Below are 22,557 nucleotides of genomic sequence, written 5' to 3'. Positions count from 1 at the left end.
GAATTGATGCAGAAGATAGGTGATTTCTGTATTCCCAACTGAGGTACTTGGTTCATCTCATTGGGACTGGTTGGACAGTGGGTGCAGCCCATGGAGGGTGAGCAGAAGCAGGGTGGGGCATTACCTCACCTGGGAAGCACAAGAGGTCAGGGGAATTCCCCTTTCCTAGCCAAGGGAAGCCGTGAGTGACTGTACCTGGAGGAACGGTATACTCCTGTTCAAATACTGTGCTTTTCCCATGGTCTTCGCAACTGGCAGACCAGGAGATTCCCTCCAGTGCCTGGCTTGGCAAGTCCCAAGCCTACGGAGGCTTACTTGCTGCTAGCACAGCAGTCTGAGATCCACCTGGGATGCTGGAGAGGGGAGGTGCGTCCACCATTGCTGAGACTTCAGTAGGTGGTTCTATGCTCACAGTGTAAACAGCAGGGAACCTCAAACTGGGCTGAGCCCACCACAGCTCAGCAAGGCCTACTGCCTCTCTATATTCTACCTCTGGGGGCAGGGCATATCTGAGCAAAAGGCAGCAGACAGCTTCTGCAGACTTAAATGTCCCTGCCTGACAGCTCTGAAGAGAGCATGGTTCTCCTAGCATAGTATTCAAGCTCCAATAACAGACAGACTGCCTCTTCAAGTGGGTCCCTGATGCCCATGTAGCCTGACTGGGAGACACCTCCTAGTAGGGGCTGACAGACACCTCATACAGGCAGGTGCCCCTCTGGGAGAAAGCATCCAGAGGAAGGATCAGGCAGCAATGTTAGCATTCTGCAGCCTCTGCTGGTGATACCCAGGCAAACAGGGTCTGGAGTGGACCTCCAGCAAACTCCAACAGACCTGCAGCTGAGGGACCTGTCTGTTAGAAGGAAAACTAACAAACAGAAAGGAATAGCATCAACATCAACAAAAAGGACATCCACACCAAAACTCCAACCATAGGTCACCAACATCAAAGACCAAAGGTAGATAAAAACCACAAAGATGGGGAGAAACCAGAGCAGAAAGGCTGAAAATTCCAAAAACCAGAATGCCTCTTCTCCTCGAAAGGAACACAACTCCTTGCCAACAGAACAAAACTGAATGGAGAATGAGTCTGACAGAAGTTGACAGAAGTAGGTTTCAGAAGGTCGGTAATAACAAACCTCTCTGAGCTAAAGGAGCATGTTCTAACTCATTGCAAGGAAGCTAAAAACCTTGAAAAAAGGTTAGAAAATGGCTAACTAGGCCAGGCACGGTGGCTCATGCTTGTAATCCCAGCACTTTGGGAGGCCAAGGTGGGCAGATCATGAGGTCAGGAGATCAAGACCATGGTGAAACCCCGTCTCTACTAAAAATACAAAAAATTAGCCGGGCGTGGTGGTGGGTGCCTGTAGTCCCAGCTACTCGGAGAGGCTGAGGCAGGAGAATGGTGTGAACCCGGGAGGCGGAACTTGCAGTGAGCCAAGATTGTGCCACTGCACTCCAGCCTGGGCGACAGAACGAGACTCTGTCTCAAAAAAAAAAAAAAAAAAAAAGAAAATGGCTAACTAGAATAATGAGCGTAGAGAAGAGCTGAAATGACCTGATGGAGTTGAAAACCACAGTACGAGAACTTCATGAAGCATACACAGGCTTCAATAGCAGATTTGATCAAATGAAAGAAAGAATATCAGTGATTGAAGATCACATTAATGAAATAAAGCCTAAAAATAAGATTAGAGAAAAAAGAATGAAAAGAAATGAACAAAGCCTCCAAGAAATGTGGGACTATGTGAAAAGACCAAATCTGTGTTTGATTGGTGTACCTGAAAGTGACAGGGAGAATGGAACCAAGTTAGAAAACACTCTTCAGGATATTATCCAGGAGAACTTCCCCAATCTAGCAAGGCAGGCCAATGTTCAAATTCAGGAAATACAGAGAACACCACAAAGATACTCCTTGAGAAGAGCAATCCTGAGACAAATAATCATCAGATTCACCAAGGCCGAAATGAAGAAAAAATGTCAAGGACAGCCAAGGGCCAGGCGTGGTGGCTCATGCATGTAATCCCAGCACTTTGGGAGGCTGAGGTGGGCAGATCACAAAGTCAGGAGATTGAGACCATCCTGGCTAACATGGTGAAACCCCATCTCTACTAAAAAATGCAAAAAAAAATTAGCTGGGCATGGTGGCAGGTGCCTATAGTCCCAGCTACTCAGGAGGCTGAGGCAGGAGAATGGTGTGAACCCAGGAGATGGAGCTTGCAGTGAGCTGAGATCACGCCACTGCACTCCAGCCTGGGCAACAGAGTGAGACTCTGTCTCAGAAAAAAAAAAAAAAAAAAAGTTAAGGGCAGCCAGAGAGAAAGGTCAGGTTACCCACAAAGGGAAGCCCATCAGACTAACAGTGGATCTCTCTGCAGAAACCCTACAAGCCGGAAGAGAGTGGGGGCCAATATTCATCATTCTTAAAGAAAATAATTTTCAATCCAGAATCTCATATCCAGCAAAAAGAAGCTTAATAAGTGAAGGAGAAATAAAATCCTTTACAGACAAGCAAATGCTGAGAGATTTTGTCACCACCAGGCCTGATTTATAAGATCTCCTGAAGTAAGCACTAAACATGGAAAGGAACAACCAGTACATGCCAAATTGTAAAGACCATCGATGCTATGAAGAAACCGCATTAATTAACAGGCAAATTAACAAGCTAGCATCATAATGACAGGATCAAATTCACACATAAAAATATTAATCTTAAATGTAAATGGGCTAAATGCCCCAATTAAAAGACACAGACTGACAAATTGGATAGTCAAGACCGTCAGTGTGGTGTATCCAGGAGACCCATCTCACATGCAAAGAAACACGTAGGCTCAAAATAAAAGGATGGAGGAAGATCTACCAAGCAAATGGAAAGCAAAAAAAGCATGGGTTGCATTCCTGGTCTCTGATAAAACAGACTTTAAACCAACAAAAATCAAAAGAGACAAAGAAAGCCATCACATAATGTTAAAGGGATCAGTGAAACAAGAAGAGCTAACTATTGTAAATATATATGCACCCAATACAGGAGCACCCTGATTCATAAAGCAAGTTCTTAGAGACCCACAAAGAGACTTACACTCCCACACAATAATAATGAGAGACTTTAACACCCCACTGTCAATATTAGGCAGATCAATGAGACAGAAAATTAACAAGGATATCCAGGACTTGAACTCAGCTCTGGACCAAGCAGACCTAATAGACATCTACGGAACTCTCCACCCCAAATTAACAAAATATACATTCTTCTCAGCACCACATCACACTTACTATAAAACTGACCACATAATTGGAAGTAAAACACTCCTCAGCAAATGTAAAAGCACCGAAATCACAATAAACTGTCTCTCAGACCACAGTGCAATCAAATTAGAACTCAGGATTAAGAAACTCACTCAAAACCACACAACTACATGGAAACTGAACAACCTGCTCCTGAATGATTACTAGGTAAATAATGAAATTAAGGCAGAAATAAAGATGTTCTTTGAAACCAATGAGAAGAAAGACACAAAGTACCAGAATCTCTGGAACACACTTAAAGCAGTGTGTAGAGGGAAATTTATAGCACTAAATGCCCTCTATAGAAAGGAGGAAAGATCTAAAGTTGACACCCTGACATCACAATTAAAAGAGCTAGAGAAGCAAGAGCAAACGAATTCAAAAGCTAGCAGAAGACAAGAAATAACTAAGATCAGAGAAGAACTTGAAGGAGATAGAGACACAAAAAAACTCTTCAAAAAAATCAATGAATCCAGGAGCTGGTTTTTTGAAAAGATCAACAAAATAGATAGACCGCTAGCAAGACTAATAAAGAAGAAAAGAGAGAAGAATCAAATAGATGCAATAAAAAATGATAAAGGGGATGTCACCACCGATCCCACAGAAATACAAACTACCATCAGAGAATACTATTAACACCTCTATGCAAATAAACTAGAAAATCTAGAAGAAATGGAAAAATTCCTGGACACATACACCCTCCCAAGACTAAACCAGGAAGAAGTTGAATCTCTGAATAGACCAATAACAGGTTCTGAAATTGATCCAATAATTAATAGCCTACCAACCAAAAAAGTCCAGGACCAGATGGATTCATAGCCGAATTCTGTCCGAGGTACAAAGAGGAGCTGGTACCATTCCTTCTGAAACTACTCCAATCAATAGAAAAAGAGGGAATCCTCCCTAACTCATTTTATGAGGCTAGAATCATCCTGATATCAAAGCCTGGCAGAAACACAACAGGAAAAGATAATTTTAGGCCAATATGTCTGATGAACATTGATGCGAAAATCCTCAATAAAATACTGGCAAACTGAATCCAGCAGCACATCAAAAAGTTTGTCCACCGTGATCAAGTTTTCTTCATCCCTGGGATGCAGGGCTGGTTCAACATTTGCAAATCAATAAACGTAATCCATCACATAAACAGAACCAATGTCAAAAACACATCATTATCTCAATAGATGCAGAAAAGGCCTTTGAGAAAGTTCAACAGCCTTTCACACTAAAAACTCTCAATAAACTAGGTATTGATGGAACGTATCTCAAAATAATAAGAGCTATTTATGACAAACCCACAGCCAATATCATACCAAATGGGCAAAAACTGGAAGCATTCCCTTTGAAAACCAGCACAAGACAAGGATGCCCTTTCTCACTGCTCCTATTCAACATAGTATTGGAAGTTTTGGCCAGGGCAATCAGGCAAGAAAAAGCAATAAGAGGTATTCAATTAGGAAAAGAGAAAGTCAAATTGTCTTTGTTTGCAGGTGACATGATTGTATATTTAGAAAACCCCATCATCTCAGCCAAAATCTCCTTAAGCTGATAAGCAACTTCAGCAAAGTCTCAGGATAGAAAATCAATGTGCAAAAGTCACAAGAATTCCTATACACTAAAAACAGACAGAGAGCCAAAACATGAGTGAACTCCCATTCACATTTACTACAAAGAGAATAAAATACCTAGGAATCCAAATTACAGGGGATGTGAAGGACCTTTTCAAGGAGAACTACAAACCACTGCTCAACGAAATAAGAGAGGACACAAACAAATGGAAGAACATTCCCTGCTCATGGATAGGAAGAATCAATATCATGAAAATGGCCATACTGCCCAAGGTAATTTATAGATTCAATGCTATCCTCATCAAGCTACCACTGACTTTCTTCACAGATTTGGAAAAAACTACTTTAAATTTCATATAGAACCAAAAAAGAGCCCACATAGCCAAGACAATCCTAAGCAAAAAGAACAAAGCTGGAGGCATCACACTATCTGACTTTGAACTATACTACAAGGCTACAGTAACCAAAACAGCATGGTACTGGTACCAAAACAGAGAGAGATAGACCAATGGAACAGAACAGAGGCCTCAGAAATAACACCAGACATCTACAACCATCTGATCTTTGACAAACCTGACAAAAACAAGCAATGGGGAAAAGATTCCCTATTTAATAAATGGTGCTGGGAAAACTGGCTAGTCATATGTAGAAACCTGAAACTGGATCCTTTCCTTATGCCTTATATAAAAATTAATTCAAGATGGATTAAAGACTTAAATGTAAGACCTAAAACCATAAAAACCCTAGAAGAAAACCTAGGCAATACCATTCAGGACATAGGCATGGGCAAAGACTTCATGACTAAAATACCAAAAGCAATGGCAACAAAAGCCAAAATTCACAAATGGGATCTAATTAAAGAGCTTCTGCAGAGCAAAAGAAACTATCATTAGAGTGAACAGGCAACCTACAGAATGGGAGAAAATTTTTGCAATCTACTCATCTGACAAAGGGCTAATATCCAGAATCTACAAAGAACTTAAACAAATTTACAAGATAAAAATAAACAAACCCATCAAAAAGTGGGCAAAGGATATGAACAGACACTTCTCAAAAGAAGACATTTATGCAGCCAACAGACATATCAAAAAATGCTCATCATCACTGGCCATCAGAGAAATGCAAATCAAAACCACAATGAGATACCATCTCATGCCAGTTAGAATGGCGATCATTAAAAAGTTAGGAAACAACAGATGCTGGAGAGGATGTGGAGAAATAGGAATGCTTTTACCCTGTTGGTGGGAGTGTAAATTAGTTCAACCATTGTGGAAGACAGTGTGGGAATTCCTCAAGGATCTAGAAATAGAAATACGTTTGACCCAGCAATGCCATTACTGAGTATACCCAAAGGATTATAAATCATGCTACTATAAAGACACATGCACATGTATGTTTATTGTGGCACTATTCACAATAGCAAAGACTTGGAACCAACCCAAATGTCCTTCAATAATAGACTGGATAAAGAAAATGTAGCACATATACACCATGGAATACTATGCAGCCATAAAAAAGGATGAGTTCATGTCCTTTGTAGGGACATGGATGAAGGTGGAAACCATCATACTCAGTAAAATATCACAAGGACAGAAAACCAAACACCACATGTTCTCACTCATAAGTGGGAGTTGAGCAATGAGAACACATGGACACAGGGAGGGGAATGTCACACACTGGGGCCTATCATGGGGTGGGGGGCTGGGGGAGAGATAGCGTTAGAAATACCTAATATAAATGACGAGTTGATGGGTACAGCAAACCAACATGGCACATGTATACCTATGTAACAAACCTGCACGTTCTGCACATGTACCCTAGAACTTAAAGTATAATAATAAATAATAAATAATAATAAATAATAAATAATAAATAATACAGTAGCAAGGAATATTGAGAAATATCCAGGAAGTTCTTGTAAAATATATAATTCCTGGAATATTTATACAAACATCACTTTACCTATGCAAATGTATGTATTTGCATATCATTTACCTATGCATTTACCTATGCAAATTTAGCCTAGGGCAGATTGGGTGTCTTTTCTGATTTGACAACTCTTCCCATGTAACTGTTATAGTAGACGGACATCAAATAAATCTAATTATTTCTGGCTGGGTGTGGTGGTTCAGGCCTGTAATCCCAGCACTTTGGGAGGCCGAGGTGGGTGGATCACGAGGTCAAGAGATCAAGACCATCCTGGCCAACATGGTGAAATCCCATCTCTACCAAAAATATGAAAAAAATTAGCTGTGTTTGGTGGCACATGCCTATAGTCCCAGCTACCCAGGAGGCTGAGGCTAGTGGCATTTGGACATATGAACAGAAGTGTGTGGTTCCAGTACAGTGGTTAGATGTAGTCACTTTGAAAGCCAGAATGGCAAATATGACTTACCTGGATACCAGTGGCTTACTCATGGTTGGAAAGTTTTCGGTGGGCATTTAAGTGTTGTGAAGTAGTATGTTTCAGTGACTGGTTGGAAATGACAGGGACGGACTAGCCCCCAGAATCCTGCTATGCTAGAGAATTCCCACCAGGAAGATCTTAGTGACCTTTATCAAGAGGACTGTGGGAACAAAAATGTTTCCTTTTGAAAGGAACCAAACAATCACAAGTGCTAAGTTTTCTGGGAATTTCCATTAAAGTGACACAAACCTGGCCATGATTCTCACCACTACTTAACTCTGGGCTCTGTATTATGAGAGAAGGGAGCCTGAGATAGACCAAATGACATCCCTGAAGCACCTCTCAGCAACTCATGTCACTCAGTAGAACTGTCCATACCAAGCTTGTCAAGGATCTTTGAACATACATCCTTGGCAAACAACTTTAATACACCCTTTGAAATGGAGTAAATATTAAGAATGTCAAAGAAGGAAACCACAAACTTATTTTATTGGACTTGTGAATTTTTGAGTACACACTTAACTGTTACAGAAATTTGTAGAAATAAACATGTTGCTATAAAGGAATGCCTGGGCATATAATTTTCTACCCTTATAAATGAAGAAAAAAGTTTTCATATTATGTCACCAGCTGGACACTAATTGATGTCCTTTATAATACTGAGGACAGATTTAATACCCACTTTATAGCCTGTGTAAGATTTTTTACTGAACACAGTATGTTTTGAGGTGGCATGGTTTGATCAGCATTTCTCATCCATGTAAATAAGCCACATATGGCGGGACTGGAACTACAGTAAATGTTAGTTTACTTCTACCAGGTAGTATATAAAGTACCAATCAACTGCTAACATAAGAAAACAAACAGTAATAATGACTTTTATTCCTTGGCGATATATTCTTTTGAGTGTGAATAGATTACACAAAAGAAAATTTTTAAGATTGGTGAATGTGAATACCTACATGTAATTTTTGCTGGTTAGTAAAATATTCTTACCACTTGTAAGAGCAAACTAACACATTGTCTTAAAGTGATCATGGACACAAGCATTTATAAGCCTGTGTTAAGTCTTTATAATTCAATAGATTTCAGTTTTTATAATGTTAATAATAACAATTGTAAAAAAGATAAATTTGTCCTGTAAAGCACCATTATTTTTAGCCTTTCCTGTTAATGGAGCTTTAAAATTCTGTTTTGGGTTTATATAATAGCATATACATAACTATGAATTCAAATACTTAACCACTAATTTGAAAATTATCAGTGTGATACACAGGAATCATTATTCAGAATGTGGTCTGGTCTCTAGGAAGTATTAACAGGAAAGTTACCACACAATTTAGTTGATTTAGCAAAGACCTAGATGCTATTTTTCTCCCAAACTAAGATACTTTTTGACACTAAACACACACACACACACATAATTTAAATTTATTATATATTTTTAAAGACAGAGTCTCCCTCTGTCACTCAGGTAGACTGCAGTGGCATAATCAGAGCTCACTGTAATCTCAAACTCCTGGCCTCAAGAGATCCTCCCATCTTGGCTTCCCAAAGAGCTGGGATTACAGATATGAACCACTGTGCCTGGTGGACACTAAATGCTTTTTAAAAGAGTTTATCTTTGCCTCCTCCAAACAAGAAGCAACAGTCTCCAAGTCAATATAATCCCACAGACAATGGTGTTCTTTTTCTCCAGAGTAAGATGCTTGTGGCAGTCATTAAAATAAGTGACAATGTAACTAGGGATTATCCTTATTTTCCTGATAGTAAATTGATATGGTTTGGCTCTATGCCCCCACCCAGATCTCATGTCAAGTTGTAATCCCAATGTGTTGGAGGAATAGCCTGCTGGGAGGTGATTGAATCATGGGGGTGGACTTCCCTTTTGTTCTTGTGATAGTGAGTGAATTCTCATGACATCTGATTTTTTTGAAAGTGTGTAGCACTTACACCCTCACACACTCTATCTCTCCTGCTCTGCCATGGTAAGACATGCTTGCTTCCCCTTTTCCTGCTGCCATGATTGTAAGTTTCCTGAGGCCTTCCAGCCATGCTTCCTGTTAAGCCTGTGAAACTGAGTCAATTAAACCTCTTTTCTTCATACATTACCCAGTCTCAGGTATTTTTTTTATAGCAGTGTGAAAACGGACTAACACATATACTGTAGTGAATTACACAGATTATTACATGTTTTGCAAGAGCAAATTATATTTATTTGAAATGGGAAGAGAGCATTTTATTGCATTTTGTGTATTATATTTATTTTCCAGAATACGGAAAGAAAATTAAAGTAAATGTTAATAAATGCTTTCTAGAGAGTAATAAAAAATAGACACAAAAACAAAAACATCACCATTACAGATATAAAAAATCTCTTTTTCTTCTCAGTGTGCACCAAATACTTAGTTGATTTGAGATAAACGTGGACAAATAAAGGAAAAGGGGTGTCAAATGGGATTATTTGTCATCTCTCTCAAAAGAGAATAGATGTCTATCATTTATCTAGAAAAATAACCCAAATTGTGAGTGCATAAAACCAAATTCTCAATTATTGCTGCTACCAGTAGAGAATAACTTTTTGATCAAAAAGTTTCTTTGGCCAAAAACAAAAAAAAAAAATTCAGTAAAGATAAAAAACCTGGAAAAAAGGAGACTTAACGTAATACTGTAATTAATTCTTTGCTACTGGGTTTTCCATCAGTAGTAGTTTGCCTTCATAAAGCTGTTTGCTTCCTGAGTAAAACTAGACATGGAAATCCTGCTTAGCCCACTGGTACAGTCTGAGGTTCTCTAAGCTGTGTAATCTTGGAATTATGTATTCAAGAATCTATTATTTGAAATATTGTATTACTCTGTTTTCATACTGCTGATAAAGACATAACCAAGACTGGTCAATTTAAAGAAGAAGGAGGTTTAATGGACTCACAGTTCCATCCATGTGGCTGAGGATGCCACACAATCATGGCAGAAGGTGAAAGGCACATCTCATATGGTGGCAGATAAGAGAAGAGAGCTTGTGCACAGAAACTCTCATTTTTTAAAACATCAGATCTCGTGAGACTTATTCACTATTATGAGAACAGCACAGGAAAGTGCCGACTCTATGATTCAGTTATCTCCTACCAGGCCCCTCTCACAATACGTGGGAATTATGGGAGCTACAAGATGAGATTTCGGTGGGGACACAGAGTCAAACCATATCATTCTGCCCCAGCCCCTCCCAAATCTCATGTCCTCACATTTCAAAACCAATCATGCCTTCTTAGCAGTGCCCCAAAGTCTTAACACATTCCAGCATTAACTCAAAAGTCCACAGTCCAAAGTCTCATCTGAGACAATGCAAGTCCCTTCCACCTAAGAGCCTGTAAAATCAAAAGCAAGTTAGTTACTTCCTAGATACAATGGGGGTACAGGCATTGGGTAAATACAGCCATTCCAAATGAGAGGAATTAGTCAAAACAAAGGGGCTACAGGCCCCATGGAAGTCCAAAAACCAACCCGGCAGTCAAGTCTTAAAGTATCAAAGTGATCTCCTTTGACTCCATGTCTCATATCCAGGCCATGCTGATGCAAGTGGTGGCTTCCCATGGTCTTGGGCAACTTCGACCATGTGACTTTGCAGGTTATAGCCCCTCTCCTGGCTGCTTTCATGGGCCAGCATTGAGTGTCTGCGGCTTTTCCAGGTGCACAGTGCAAACTGTCAGTGGATCTACCATTCTGGGATCTGGGTGACCTTGGCCCTCTTCTCACACCTCCACTAGGTGGTGCCCCAGTAGGGACTCTGCTTGAGGGCTCTGACCCCACATTTCCCTCCCATACTGCTCTAGCAGAGGTTCTCCATGAGGGCCCCACCACTGCAGCAAACTCTTGCCTGGGCATCCAGGCATTTCCATACATCCTCTGAAATCTCGGTGGAGGTTCCCAAACCTCAATTATTGACTTCTGTGCCCTTGCAGGCTCACCACCACATGGAAGCTGCCATGGTTTGGGGCTCCCACTCGCTGAAGCAACAGCCCGAGCTGAACCTTGGCCCATTTTAGTCATGGCTGGAGTGGCTGCAATGCAGATCAAGTCCCTAGACTGCACACAACAGAGGGACCCTGGGCCCGGCCTGGGAAACCATCTTTTTCTCCTAGACCTCCAAGCCTGTGATGGGAGGGGCTGCTGTGAAGACCTCTGAATGCCTGGAGAAATTTTCCCCATTGCTTGGGGGTTAACATTCATTAATTAACTCGTTCCTTATGCAAATTTATGCAGTGGGCTTGAATTTCTCTTCAAAAAATGGGTCTTTCTTTTCTATTGCATTTTCAGGCTGTGAACTTTCCAAACTTTAATGCTCTGCTTCCTTTATAAAACTGAATGTTTTTAACACCACCCAAAGTCACCTCTTGAATGCTCCTTAGAAATTATTCTGCCAGATACCTGAAATCATCTCTCTCAAGTTCAAAGTTTCACAAATCTCTAGGGCAGGGGAAAAATGCCATCACTCTGTTTGCTAAAACATAGCAAGAGTCACCTTTACTACAGTTCCCAACAAGTTCCTCATCGCCATCTGAGACCTCCTCAGCCTAGACCTTGTTGTTCATATCACTATTAGCATTTTTGACAAAGCCATTCAACAAGTCTCTAGTAAGTTCCACAAACTTTGCCACACTTTTCTGTCTTCTTCTGAGCCCTCCAAACTTCCAGCCTCCACCTGTTACCCAGTTCCAAAGTCGCTTCCACATATTCAGGTATCTTTTCATCACCACCCCACTCCTGGTACCAATTTACTGTATTAGTCCATTTTCATGCTGCTGATAAAGACATATCCAAGACTGGAAAGAGAAAGAGGTTTAATGGGCTTACAGTTCCACATGGTTGGGGAGGCCTCACAATCATCAAGGAAGGCAAGGAGGAGCAAGTCAAATCTCACATGGATGGTGGCAGGCAAAGAGAGAGAGCTTGTGCACAGAAACTCCTGTTTTTAAAACCATCAGATCTCGTGAGACTTATTCACTATAATGAGAACACCACAGGAAAGTCCTACCCCTATGATTCAATTATCTCTCACTGAGTCCCTCCCACAACAGGTGGGAATTATGGGAGCTACAAGATGAGATTTGGGTGGGGACACAGAGCTAAACCATATCAAATATCAATAGTTGAAAATTATTGATGCAAAACTTTCCATGGGGTTCTGAAACTTTCCTTAGTTGAAAACACAGCCTCTAAAAGCTTTTTAGCTGTTTGGCAAGAATCAGAGTAAAACAAAAATTATTTGTAGATGAGAAATACTAGAAGGATGAGGCCAATTATATCATAAGGTAGGAAAGTAAAATTCCCCATTGGGGTATAATACAGAACTTTTTTTTTTTGAGACAGGGTCTCACTCTGTCACCCAGGTTGAAGTGGAGTGGCATGATCCCAGCTCACTGTGATCTCAACCTCCTGTACTCAAGCAATCTTCCCACCTCAGTCTCCTGAGTAGCTAGGGCAACAAGCACGAGCCACCATGCCTGGCTAATTATTATTTTTTTGTAGAGACAGTGTCTCACCATATTGCCCAGGCTGTTCTTCAATTCCTGGACTCAAGCAATCCTCTTGCCTTGGCCTCCCAAAGTGCTGGGATTACAGGTGTGAGTCCCATGCCTGGCCTATAACTATTTTGTATACATTTGATCAATATTTTTCCTTGAGGATAAAAACATATTATGGATAGTGAACACACTGAAAAATCTCCAGGGCCTTCACATAAAGCATATTGTTTTTGAAATATTTATATTAACAATATTTCACCCATTCAAACTTAATTCAGGGAGGGCTAAGTGTTTTCTATGTTTTCTATGATTTAATAATTCCTCCTCTGCAGTTTTTTTTTATTTTTTATTTTTTATTTTTTAAAGATGGAGTCTTGCACTGTCACCCAGGCTGGAGTGCAGTGGCACAATCTTGGCTCACTGCAACCTCTGCCTCCTGGGTTCAAGTGATTCTTCTGCCTCAGCCTCCCATGTAGCTGGGATTACAGACATGAGTCACCACACCTGGCTAATTTTTTGTATTTTTGGCAGAGATGGGGTTTCACCATGTTGGCCAGGCTTGTCTCGAACTCCTGACCTCAGGTGATTTGCCTGCCTTGGCCTCCCAAAGTGCTAGGATTACAAGCATGAGCCACTGCACCCGACTTTTTTTCTTTTTTTTTTTTTTTTTGAGACAGAGTCCTGCTCTGTTGCCCAGGCTGGCATGATCTCGGCGGCCCACTGCAACTTCCACCTTCCAGGTTCAAAAGATTTTCCTGCCTCAGCCTCCAGAGTAGCTGGGACTACAGGCATCCACCACCTCGCCTGGCTAATTTTGTATTTTTAGTAGAGAGGGGGTTTCATTGTGTTGGCCAGGGTGGTCGAACTCCTGACCTCAGGTGATCCACCTGCCTCAGTCTCCCAAAATGCTGGGATTACAGGTGTGAGCCACTGCACCCAGCCTCCTCTGCAGCTCTTACAATAAATGCTGAGCTGGTTAAGAAATACGAAGCATGCCAAGCAAACCTAATTATCCTAACATCTCTCCTAGTTATAAGGTAAAATAAAAAATTATGGCTATTTTCCATGGGCTCTTGGGGTTATCTTAATAATAGTTCTAGGTATAAATAATATTCTGAAAATATTACTTTTTATTTGTCCTAAATGTAGGACCTGATCTTGGGAGAGCAAATTCGAAAGGTCGTAGGAACAGAATTGATCACTTGATGTAGACAGGGTCTTGGGTGACTGAGGAGCAACATTTAGCAACTTAACCTAATTATAATAAAATATTAAAAAATAAACCAAAGAAAATAATACAGCTCCACAGAAACTTAGTACTTCTGTTTTTTTTAATAATCATAAAGTCAACAAAACACAGGAAATTATTCTAAGACATGGAAATTTTTATCTGTAGGCAGATTGAAGAGATGATAATTAATAACCTTTCACGTTGTAAATGAAGTCATTAATCAATAAACCCAGAAAGCAGGTCCATCAGAACTGACCAAAGTTTGCCAAAATTTTAGTAGATAATTTCTTTTCATAATTTCTTTTCAGACTCAGATGCTTTAAACCAAGGCAAATCCAATTCATTCTGCTTGAGCTTTGTCCTTCATTATGCTCTTTCTTCCTCTAACTGGAAGAAACTGTTACTTTAGGACTATTTCTTTTCATTTGAAAAATAAACATACAGGTTATTTTCCTTGTTACTATTGTTCTGATATAGTTTTAGCCACCTATATTATTATTACTTTTAATCAAAGTAATTAATTTCTGTTTTGCAGAAAATTGGGAATAGGTAATTGACTTCTGTCATATACAAGCATTTTAGCAGATCATCAAAGATCTTGAATACACAAAGCACAACTTTCTACAGCCACCCAATCCTTTTATACTTTCTTAAAGTGGCAAAAATGACTGAAAGATATAGCTGCTCTATTGCATATGAAAATAAGAAGCAAAAGAAAATAAATTAAAATTATTCTTAGTATTCAATGCTTGTATCCAATATTTTCCTTTTATTAGCTCACTTTAATATTAGTTCCATGTTTTAGGTTTTCTAAGACCTTCAAAATTATGTTTAAGCTGACATACAATAAAACATAATTTCTGCTGATATTAAAAGTTCACTCAGCAAAGAAGTTGAGGTTCCATTGCCACTTGGAAGCCACTCTGAGAACTAACAAAAGATGTGCCTGGACTTAGGCAGCTCATGGGGTGCCTGTCTCATGCAGTGCAATTCACCTGACTCCTTCAGGAGAGTCACTGGAGCAGCTTAGTGGATGATCTTCAAAAGTGCTAAGATAGTCTCAGAATGGCAAATTCATGACTCTCATGGAAATTTAAAATAAACATGTATCAACACTTTACATAACTCTTTAAATAATGAGGAAACTGGTAAGATATTAAAATCAGTTTAAATCAAGATTTGACCTCCAGTGATTTCTAGTCTCTGTGGGGCAAAATCCATTTACATAGTTATAGAGAGGAATCATTTTTACTGCTATGGAAGAAAACACTTTTGTTTGTTTAAAGGAACTTTTATTAAAATTTAAAAAGTGTAAACTATACTGATAACATTCTTTTTTACTGATATATAAAAATTATACATATTTATGGAGTACATGTGATATTTTGAGATATGCATAAATGTGTAATGATCAAATTATTTAGAATATCCATCATCTCAAACATTTATCATTCGTCTTGAGAACATTTCAAATCTTCTCCCTATTATTATTATTATTATTATTTTTAGAAAAGTCTTGATCTGTTACCCAGGCTAGAGTGCAGTGGCACCATCTCAGCTCACTGCAACCTCCACCACCTGGGTTCAAGCGATTCTTGGCCTCAGCCTCCTGAATAGCTGTGATTCCAGGCATGCACAATGATGCCTGGCTAATTTTTATATTTTTAGTGTTGGCCAGGCTGGTCTTGAATTCCTGACCTCGGGTTATCCCCCTGCCTTGGCATCCCAAAGTGCTGGGATTACAAGCATGAGCCACCGTGCCCAGCCTCTCCTCCCTATTTTGAAATATAAAACAAACTATTGTTAACTATAGTCATTGTTTTGTGGTACTAAGAACTAATAATTTATTACTTCTATCTGACTGTATGTTTGTACCCCCTAAACAACCTCTCTTCATCTCCCTACCACCCTTTCCAGCCTTTGGAAACCATCATTCTACTCTCTATCTCCATGAGATCAACTTTTTTTAGCTCCCACATATGAGTGAGTACATACAATGTCTGTCTTTCTGTTCTTGGCTTATTTCTCTTAATATAAAGATCTTTAGTTCTGTCCATGTCACAAATGACAGGATTTCATCCTTTTATCATGGATGAATAGTATTTTATTATGTATATATCACATTATCCATTTATCTATTGATGGACACTTACACTGATTCTCTATCTTAGCTCTTGTGAACCGTGCTGAAATAAACATGGGTGTGCAGGTATTCCTTTGATACACTGACTTCCTTTCCTTTAGATAAATACCCGGTAGTGGAATTGCTGGATCATAGGGTAGTTCATTTTTAGTTTTTTAGGAAACCTCTATATTTTTTCCATTATGGCTATACCAAGTTACTTTTAGGAAACCTCTATATTTTTTCCATTATGGCTATACCAAGTTACATTCCTATTAACAGTGTATGAGAGTTCCATTTTTTCCTCATCCTCATGAGTATTTGTTATTCTTTTTGTCTTTGTAATAATAACCATTCTAACTGGGGTGAAATAATATCTCATTGTGGTTTTGATTTGCATTTCCCTGATGATTAGTGTTGTTGGGCATATTTTCATATATCTGTTGGATATTTTGTATCTTTTTCTTCTTCTTTTTGGAGACAAGATCTCATTTGCTCTGTCACCCAGGATAGAGGGCAGTGATGTGATCATAGCTCACTGCAGCCTCAAACCCCTGGATTCAAGCAATTCTTCCACCTTAGCCTCCCAAGTCCCAGCCCCACCATTCAGTATGATATTAGCTATCGGTTTGTTATATATGGCCTTTATTATGTTGAAGTAGTGTTAGTCCGTTCTGTTCTCACACTGCTATAAAGAACTACCTGAGACTGGGTAATCTATGAAGAAAAGAGGTTTAATTGAGTCAGTTCTGCAGGCTGTACAGGAAGGATGGCTGAGTGGCCTCAGGAAACTTACAGCCATGTTGGAAGGGAAAGCAAGCACGTCTTACCACAGCAGAGCAGGAGAGGGAGAGAGTGAACAAGGAAGTGCTATACACTTTTAAACAACTGGATCTCACCCACTATCATGAAAACAGCAAAGGGGAAATTCACACCTATGATCCAATCACCTCCCACCAAGTACTTCTCCTAACATTGGGAATTACAATTTGGCATGAGATTTGGGTAGAGACACAAAACAAAACCATAGCAGGTAGGTTCCTTCTATGCCTGAATTGTTGAGAGTTTTGATCAGGAAGTGATGTTAAATTTTATCAAATGCTTTTTCTGTGTTTATTGAGATGATCATAAGGTTTTTGTCCTTCATTTGTTGATATGATGTATCACACAACAAATTTGTGTGTATTGAACCATCCTTGCATTTCTGTGATAAATCCCACTTGATCATGCTATATTATCTTTTTGATGTGTTGTTGGATTCAGTTTGCTAGTATTTTGTTGAAGGTTTTTGCATCTGTGTTCATCAAAGATATTGGCCTGTAGTTTTATTTTTTATTGTGTCCTTATCTGGTTTCAGTATCAGGGTAATGGTAGCCCCATGGAATGACTTAGGAAGAATTCCCTACTCTTCAGATTTTTGGAATAGTTTGAGAATAATTGGTGTTAATTCTTCTTTATAAGTTTGGTAGAACTCCGCAGCAAAGCCGTCTGCTCCTGGGCTTTTTTGTTATTGTTGGGATAATTTTATTACTGATTCAATATTATTAAATGTTATTAGTCTGTTCAGGTTTTCTATTTTATTTCTTTCTATTTCTTCATACAATCTTGGTAGATTGTATGTATCCAGCAACTTATCCATTTCCTCTAAGTTTTCCAATTTGTTAATGTGTAGTTATTCATAATGGTCTCTAATGGTCCTTTGGTTCTCTGTGGTAGCAGTTGTGATGTCTCCTTTTTTTCTGCTTTTATTTATTTGAGTCTTCTCTCTTTTTTTCCTCTTACTCTAGCTAGTGGTTTATCAATTTTTTCTTTTCAAAAAACCAATTTTTTATTTAATTAATCCTTTGTATTTTTTTACTTTTTTCATAAGAAAATATTTTTGAAGCCTTTATTTACAAAAGCTCTAAAAACAAATAATACCTCCTGTTCTGTAAATAATCTTTTGTTTAAAAAGGATTACCCAGTTACAGCACTGTAGTATCATGAATAAAGAATGTACAAGGGAGACAAACAATGTGGCTAACATTTGGAGATTTGCTAATATTACTGATTGAAGTGTAGGTAACACACATTATAACTTGTAGTCCATCATTTCAGGGTAGAGTTAATGATTACCAAAAAGTCTTCCTACAAATGCTCTGGTCTGGTCACATGTTCTGCATGGCTAAATATTTCAGTCTCTTTTGTCAATATATATATAAAATAGATTGCAAAGATATACACACACAAAACAAAGCATTACACTCCTCAGGTAATTTTATTAGCTGTATATATATATATATATATACATACATAAAAATGAATATGTATATATATGTTATATTTTGTTGTTTTGTACCAAATTTCTTCATTATTTATCTTTGCAGCAACTATGAAAGCATAATTTTTGTCTTTAATTTAATTTGGTACAAAATATACCTAAAGGCTTGTTATCTTTGGATTTTAATAAAATTGATTTGTGTAACCAACAAATCAAGAGTATCATAAGTATGGCTACAAAATGAAATAAAATAAAGGGTAAACAGTGATGGAACAAAAGAAGCAGATCAAGGGAAGTGTGCTATCATAAAATAACAGTAGCTTCAACATCTTGAGTACCAGTTTCCTGGCAGATACTAAACATCCAATCACAAAGGATTTTTCCTGAACGGTGTAAAGCTGGTTTTAAAATTCTTCAGTCACAGAGCAGCCTACACATGCCAATTAGAAACTGACAGACACTAGAAGTGCTTGGAAGATTAAACGCTATGTACAGAAACAGCACTTACTAAGCTCTTCAGTAGTTTCTTGTCTTTTTTTTGGTTTTGCTGAATTGACAGTTTGCACAATGAATGTGCTATATTCTGTGGGTCAAAAACAAGTAAATACTGTGTAAAGTTGGCAGATGGTCATTTTTCCAGCTAAGATAAAGAAAAAACAAAATTTCTGATAAAACAGAGGTTTTGAGTCAGAATCACTCTCTAAAGTGCAAAACTGATGGTTCACAATCTCAAATAGCTAAAACGCCTGCAGAATGGAAGGGAGAGATATGAGACAGGGAAATAAATTACAGTCAGTGCTAGTTAATTTACGAAAAGGGAAAAATAAACCAAATTCGAGTAGGTAAAGTTTATCAAAATATTCAATATGATGTCTCTTTCCCCATTAAATTATATTAAATTAAGGCCAAATTTAACCTGACTGTGTTTCTTTTTATTAAGATCTGAGATAGGAATGGTCATGCTTAGTACTGAAAGGCAGACAATAAAATGGGCCATGAAAGATGGGGGGAGGTACTGTCTGTTGTTCAAGGGATTCAACCAGAGATAAAATCTATATACAAGCATGTGTGTAGCTCGAAATAAAATAAAAATAAAAGGACTATTTCATGTCATGACTGAATGCTGGCTTTCTCTTCATATGCATTGCCTGTGCCATTCTGTACACAGGAGGAACCAGAACCAAGGCCATGCAAATGATCACAATATTTGGCATCATCCATATGATCTTGAAAGAACATTTCTCTCATTTTAGAAAAGGCCATTCCTGTGAGCGATGAATCAGATCCTGCCTGATGCTGTGGTCCTATCCGTTCCAGCTCTACCTATTCTGCCACCACCTTTGCAGCTCTTCATGAGCTACTTCACAGCATAAATGACAGGAAAAAACAGTCAAAGGATCTCAAAGAAGTCAAGTTCTTCTTCAGGCAAGTTAGAGTTGGTCAGGATTTTAATTAAATAGCCAAAGTCATAACTGCTATGAAATGACAACCATTTGACCCCTTCACAGAGGAGCACTCCCGAAGTCATAAGTTCAGCAAAGTACTGGGTCTCAATTCCTTCCTCCTAATGTTTTTTATACTGGATATCAGATGTTGTTAGTAGCTCTATAGAGTGCTGGGCATGCATGTCCTCCATCAAATTAAATTTAAAATTAAGCTGCCAAGTTGAAGTTCCTGGAGGGTATTCACCTTGCTCATTCATAAATGTCAGTCCTAGCTGAATTATCTTTAAGAAGTCTACATTACACTGCAATAGTTGATACTGATAGTCAGGATTGCTCCTCAATTCTCTAATAGGTCTTGCAACCACACCTGGAAACTCGGTGACCATAGCAACGTAATGATATTTTCGGATAACTTGACGAATTTTCTTCATCTCTTCATCCAAGTTGCAAGCCCAAACTTCACAAATTCTTGGGCTATGAGCTACAGTTGCTGCTGGAGTAGTGAGTGCACAAGGGGGTCTCGATGCCAAGCATCAGAATGTTATACTTGATTGAAGATTTGTTTCATAAAATGTTTTCTCCTTTATTTATGTACTTGTGTCGCTGAGCTCGCGCTCCACCTCCTCCTCCTCGCCATAGAGACTGCACCCAGCCCAGCGGCGATGGCTGTGGCGGTAGCGGCGGCGGCAGCGGCGGCGGCGGCGATCAGGCGCCATAGGCACCTCTCGCCCAGGAAGGGGGAAAGACGAGCAGGAGCTGCGCCGCGGCACCGTGCTGCGCCGTCCTTTGTATTTTTTTTTTTAATATCTATTTCATTTAGTTCTGCTCTGATCTTTATTATTTCTTTCCTTTAACTAATTTTGAGTTTGATTTGTTCTTGCTTTTCTGGATCCTTTAGGTGCATTGTTAGGTTGTTTATTTGAAATTGTTCTACTCTTTTGATGTGGACATTTACTGCTATAAACATCTCTCTAGGCACTGCTTTTACTGTATCCCACAGGTTTTGGTATGTTGTATTTTCGTTTTCATTTGTTTCAAGAATATTTTAGATTTACTTCTTAATTTCTTCATTGACTCCACAGTCATTTGGGAGCATGTTGTTTCATTTCCATGTACTTGTACAGTTTTCCAAGTTCCTCTTGTTATTTATCTCTGGTTTTATTTCACTGTGGCCAAATAAGATACTTGATATAATTTCGAGTTTAAAAAATTTGTTGCAACTGGTTTTATGGCCTAACATATTGTCTATACTGAAGAATGTTCCATGTGCTGCTGAGAAGAATGTACATTCTGCATTTGTTTTATAAAATGTTCTGTAAATGTCTGTTGGGTCCATTTTTCTAAAGTGCAGTTTATGTCCAACGTTTTTGTTAATTTTCTATCTAGGTAATCTGTACAATGCCGAGAGTGGGGTGTTGAAGTCCCCAAATACTATTGTATGGTAGTCTATCTCCCTATAGACTTAATAGTATTTGCTTCCTTATATATCTGGGTGCTCCAAGTTTGGATATACACATATATATGTATAAGATATACATATATTTATATGTACAAAATATACATGTATTTATATGTACATAAATGTACAAAAATATACATGTACAAAATGTACAAAAATATACATAAATATATATATATTTAGAATTATTATATCCTCTTGCTGAATTGATCCCTTTATCATTAAATAATGACCTTTTTGTCTCTTTTTACAGTTTTTTACTTAAAGTCTATTTTATCTGATGGGAGTATAGCCCCTTCTGCTCATTTTGAATTTCCATTTGTGTGAAAATCTTTTTCCATTTCTTCACTTTTAGTTTATATGTGTCTTTACAGGTGAAGTGAGTTTCTTGTAAGTAGCATATAATTGGGTTTTGGTTTTGTTTTTAATCTAGTCAGCCAGTCTACACATTTTAAGTGGGGAATTTAATCTGTTCATGTTCAAAATTGTCATTGATAGGTGAAGACTTATTCTTGTCATTTTGTTAATTGTTTTGGGGTTTTTTTGTATATCCTTTATTCCTTTCTTTGTCTCTTATTGCTTACTATTGCAGTCTGGTGGTTTACTGTAGTGGTAATGTTTGGCTCCTTTCTGTTTCTCATTTGTACATGTGCTGTACCGGTGAGATTTATACTTTCATGTGTTTTCATGATGGTAGATATCATCCTTTCACTTTTAGATGTAGGACTCCTTAAGCATTTCTTGTAGGATCAGTCTAGTGATGATAATTTCCCAGTTTTTACTTGTCTGGGAAAGGCTATATTAGCTCTTTTAATATAGCATAGCATTTTTTCCTAGCCTGTAAAGTTTCTGTTGAGAAATCTGATGTTAGCCTGTTGGAGATTCTGTTATATGTGACTTGATGCTGTTCTCTTTCTGACTTTTGAATTGTTTTTTTCTCTTGGACTTTTGACAGTTTGACTATAATGTGCCTTGAAAAGACGTTTCTGGGTTGAATCTATTTTGTGATCTTTGAGCTTCCTATATATGAGTGTCTACATGTCTTGCAAGACTTGGAAACAGTGTTAGTCCATTCTTTTGTTACTATAAAGGAATACCTGAGACTGGATAATTTATAACGAAAAGAGGTTTAATTGGCTCACAGTTCTTCAGACTGTACAGAAAGCATAGTGCCAGCATTTACTTCTGATGAGGCCCTCAGGAAGCTTACAATCATGGCTGAAGGTGGAAAGGGAACCAGCATGTCACATGACAAAAACAA

The 22,557-nt window shown here is 38.5% G+C and overlaps 2 pseudogenes, besides 1 other annotated feature; one reads left to right on the top strand and one right to left on the bottom strand.

The window, feature by feature from the left end:
- Window positions 7,150-7,709, top strand: LOC100287840 (tetraspanin 12 pseudogene; annotated as a pseudogene).
- CNOT7P2 (CCR4-NOT transcription complex subunit 7 pseudogene 2) lies at window positions 19,631-20,625 on the bottom strand (annotated as a pseudogene).
- Window positions 20,537-20,735: a silencer, noted in NCBI's record as "fragment chr1:116106821-116107019 (GRCh37/hg19 assembly coordinates)". NCBI's record gives its function as "represses an EF-1alpha promoter that drives an FKBP-Casp9 reporter gene in an ReSE screen in K562 erythroleukemia cells {active_cell/tissue: K562}" and the evidence as "EXISTENCE:reporter gene assay evidence [ECO:0000049][PMID:32094911]".

The sequence above is a fragment of the Homo sapiens genome, chromosome 1 (assembly GCF_000001405.40).
Source record: "Homo sapiens chromosome 1, GRCh38.p14 Primary Assembly".
Taxonomy (NCBI): domain Eukaryota; kingdom Metazoa; phylum Chordata; class Mammalia; order Primates; family Hominidae; genus Homo; species Homo sapiens.
Note: the sequence above shows the minus strand (reverse complement) of the source record. Positions and strands in the feature narration are given on the sequence as shown.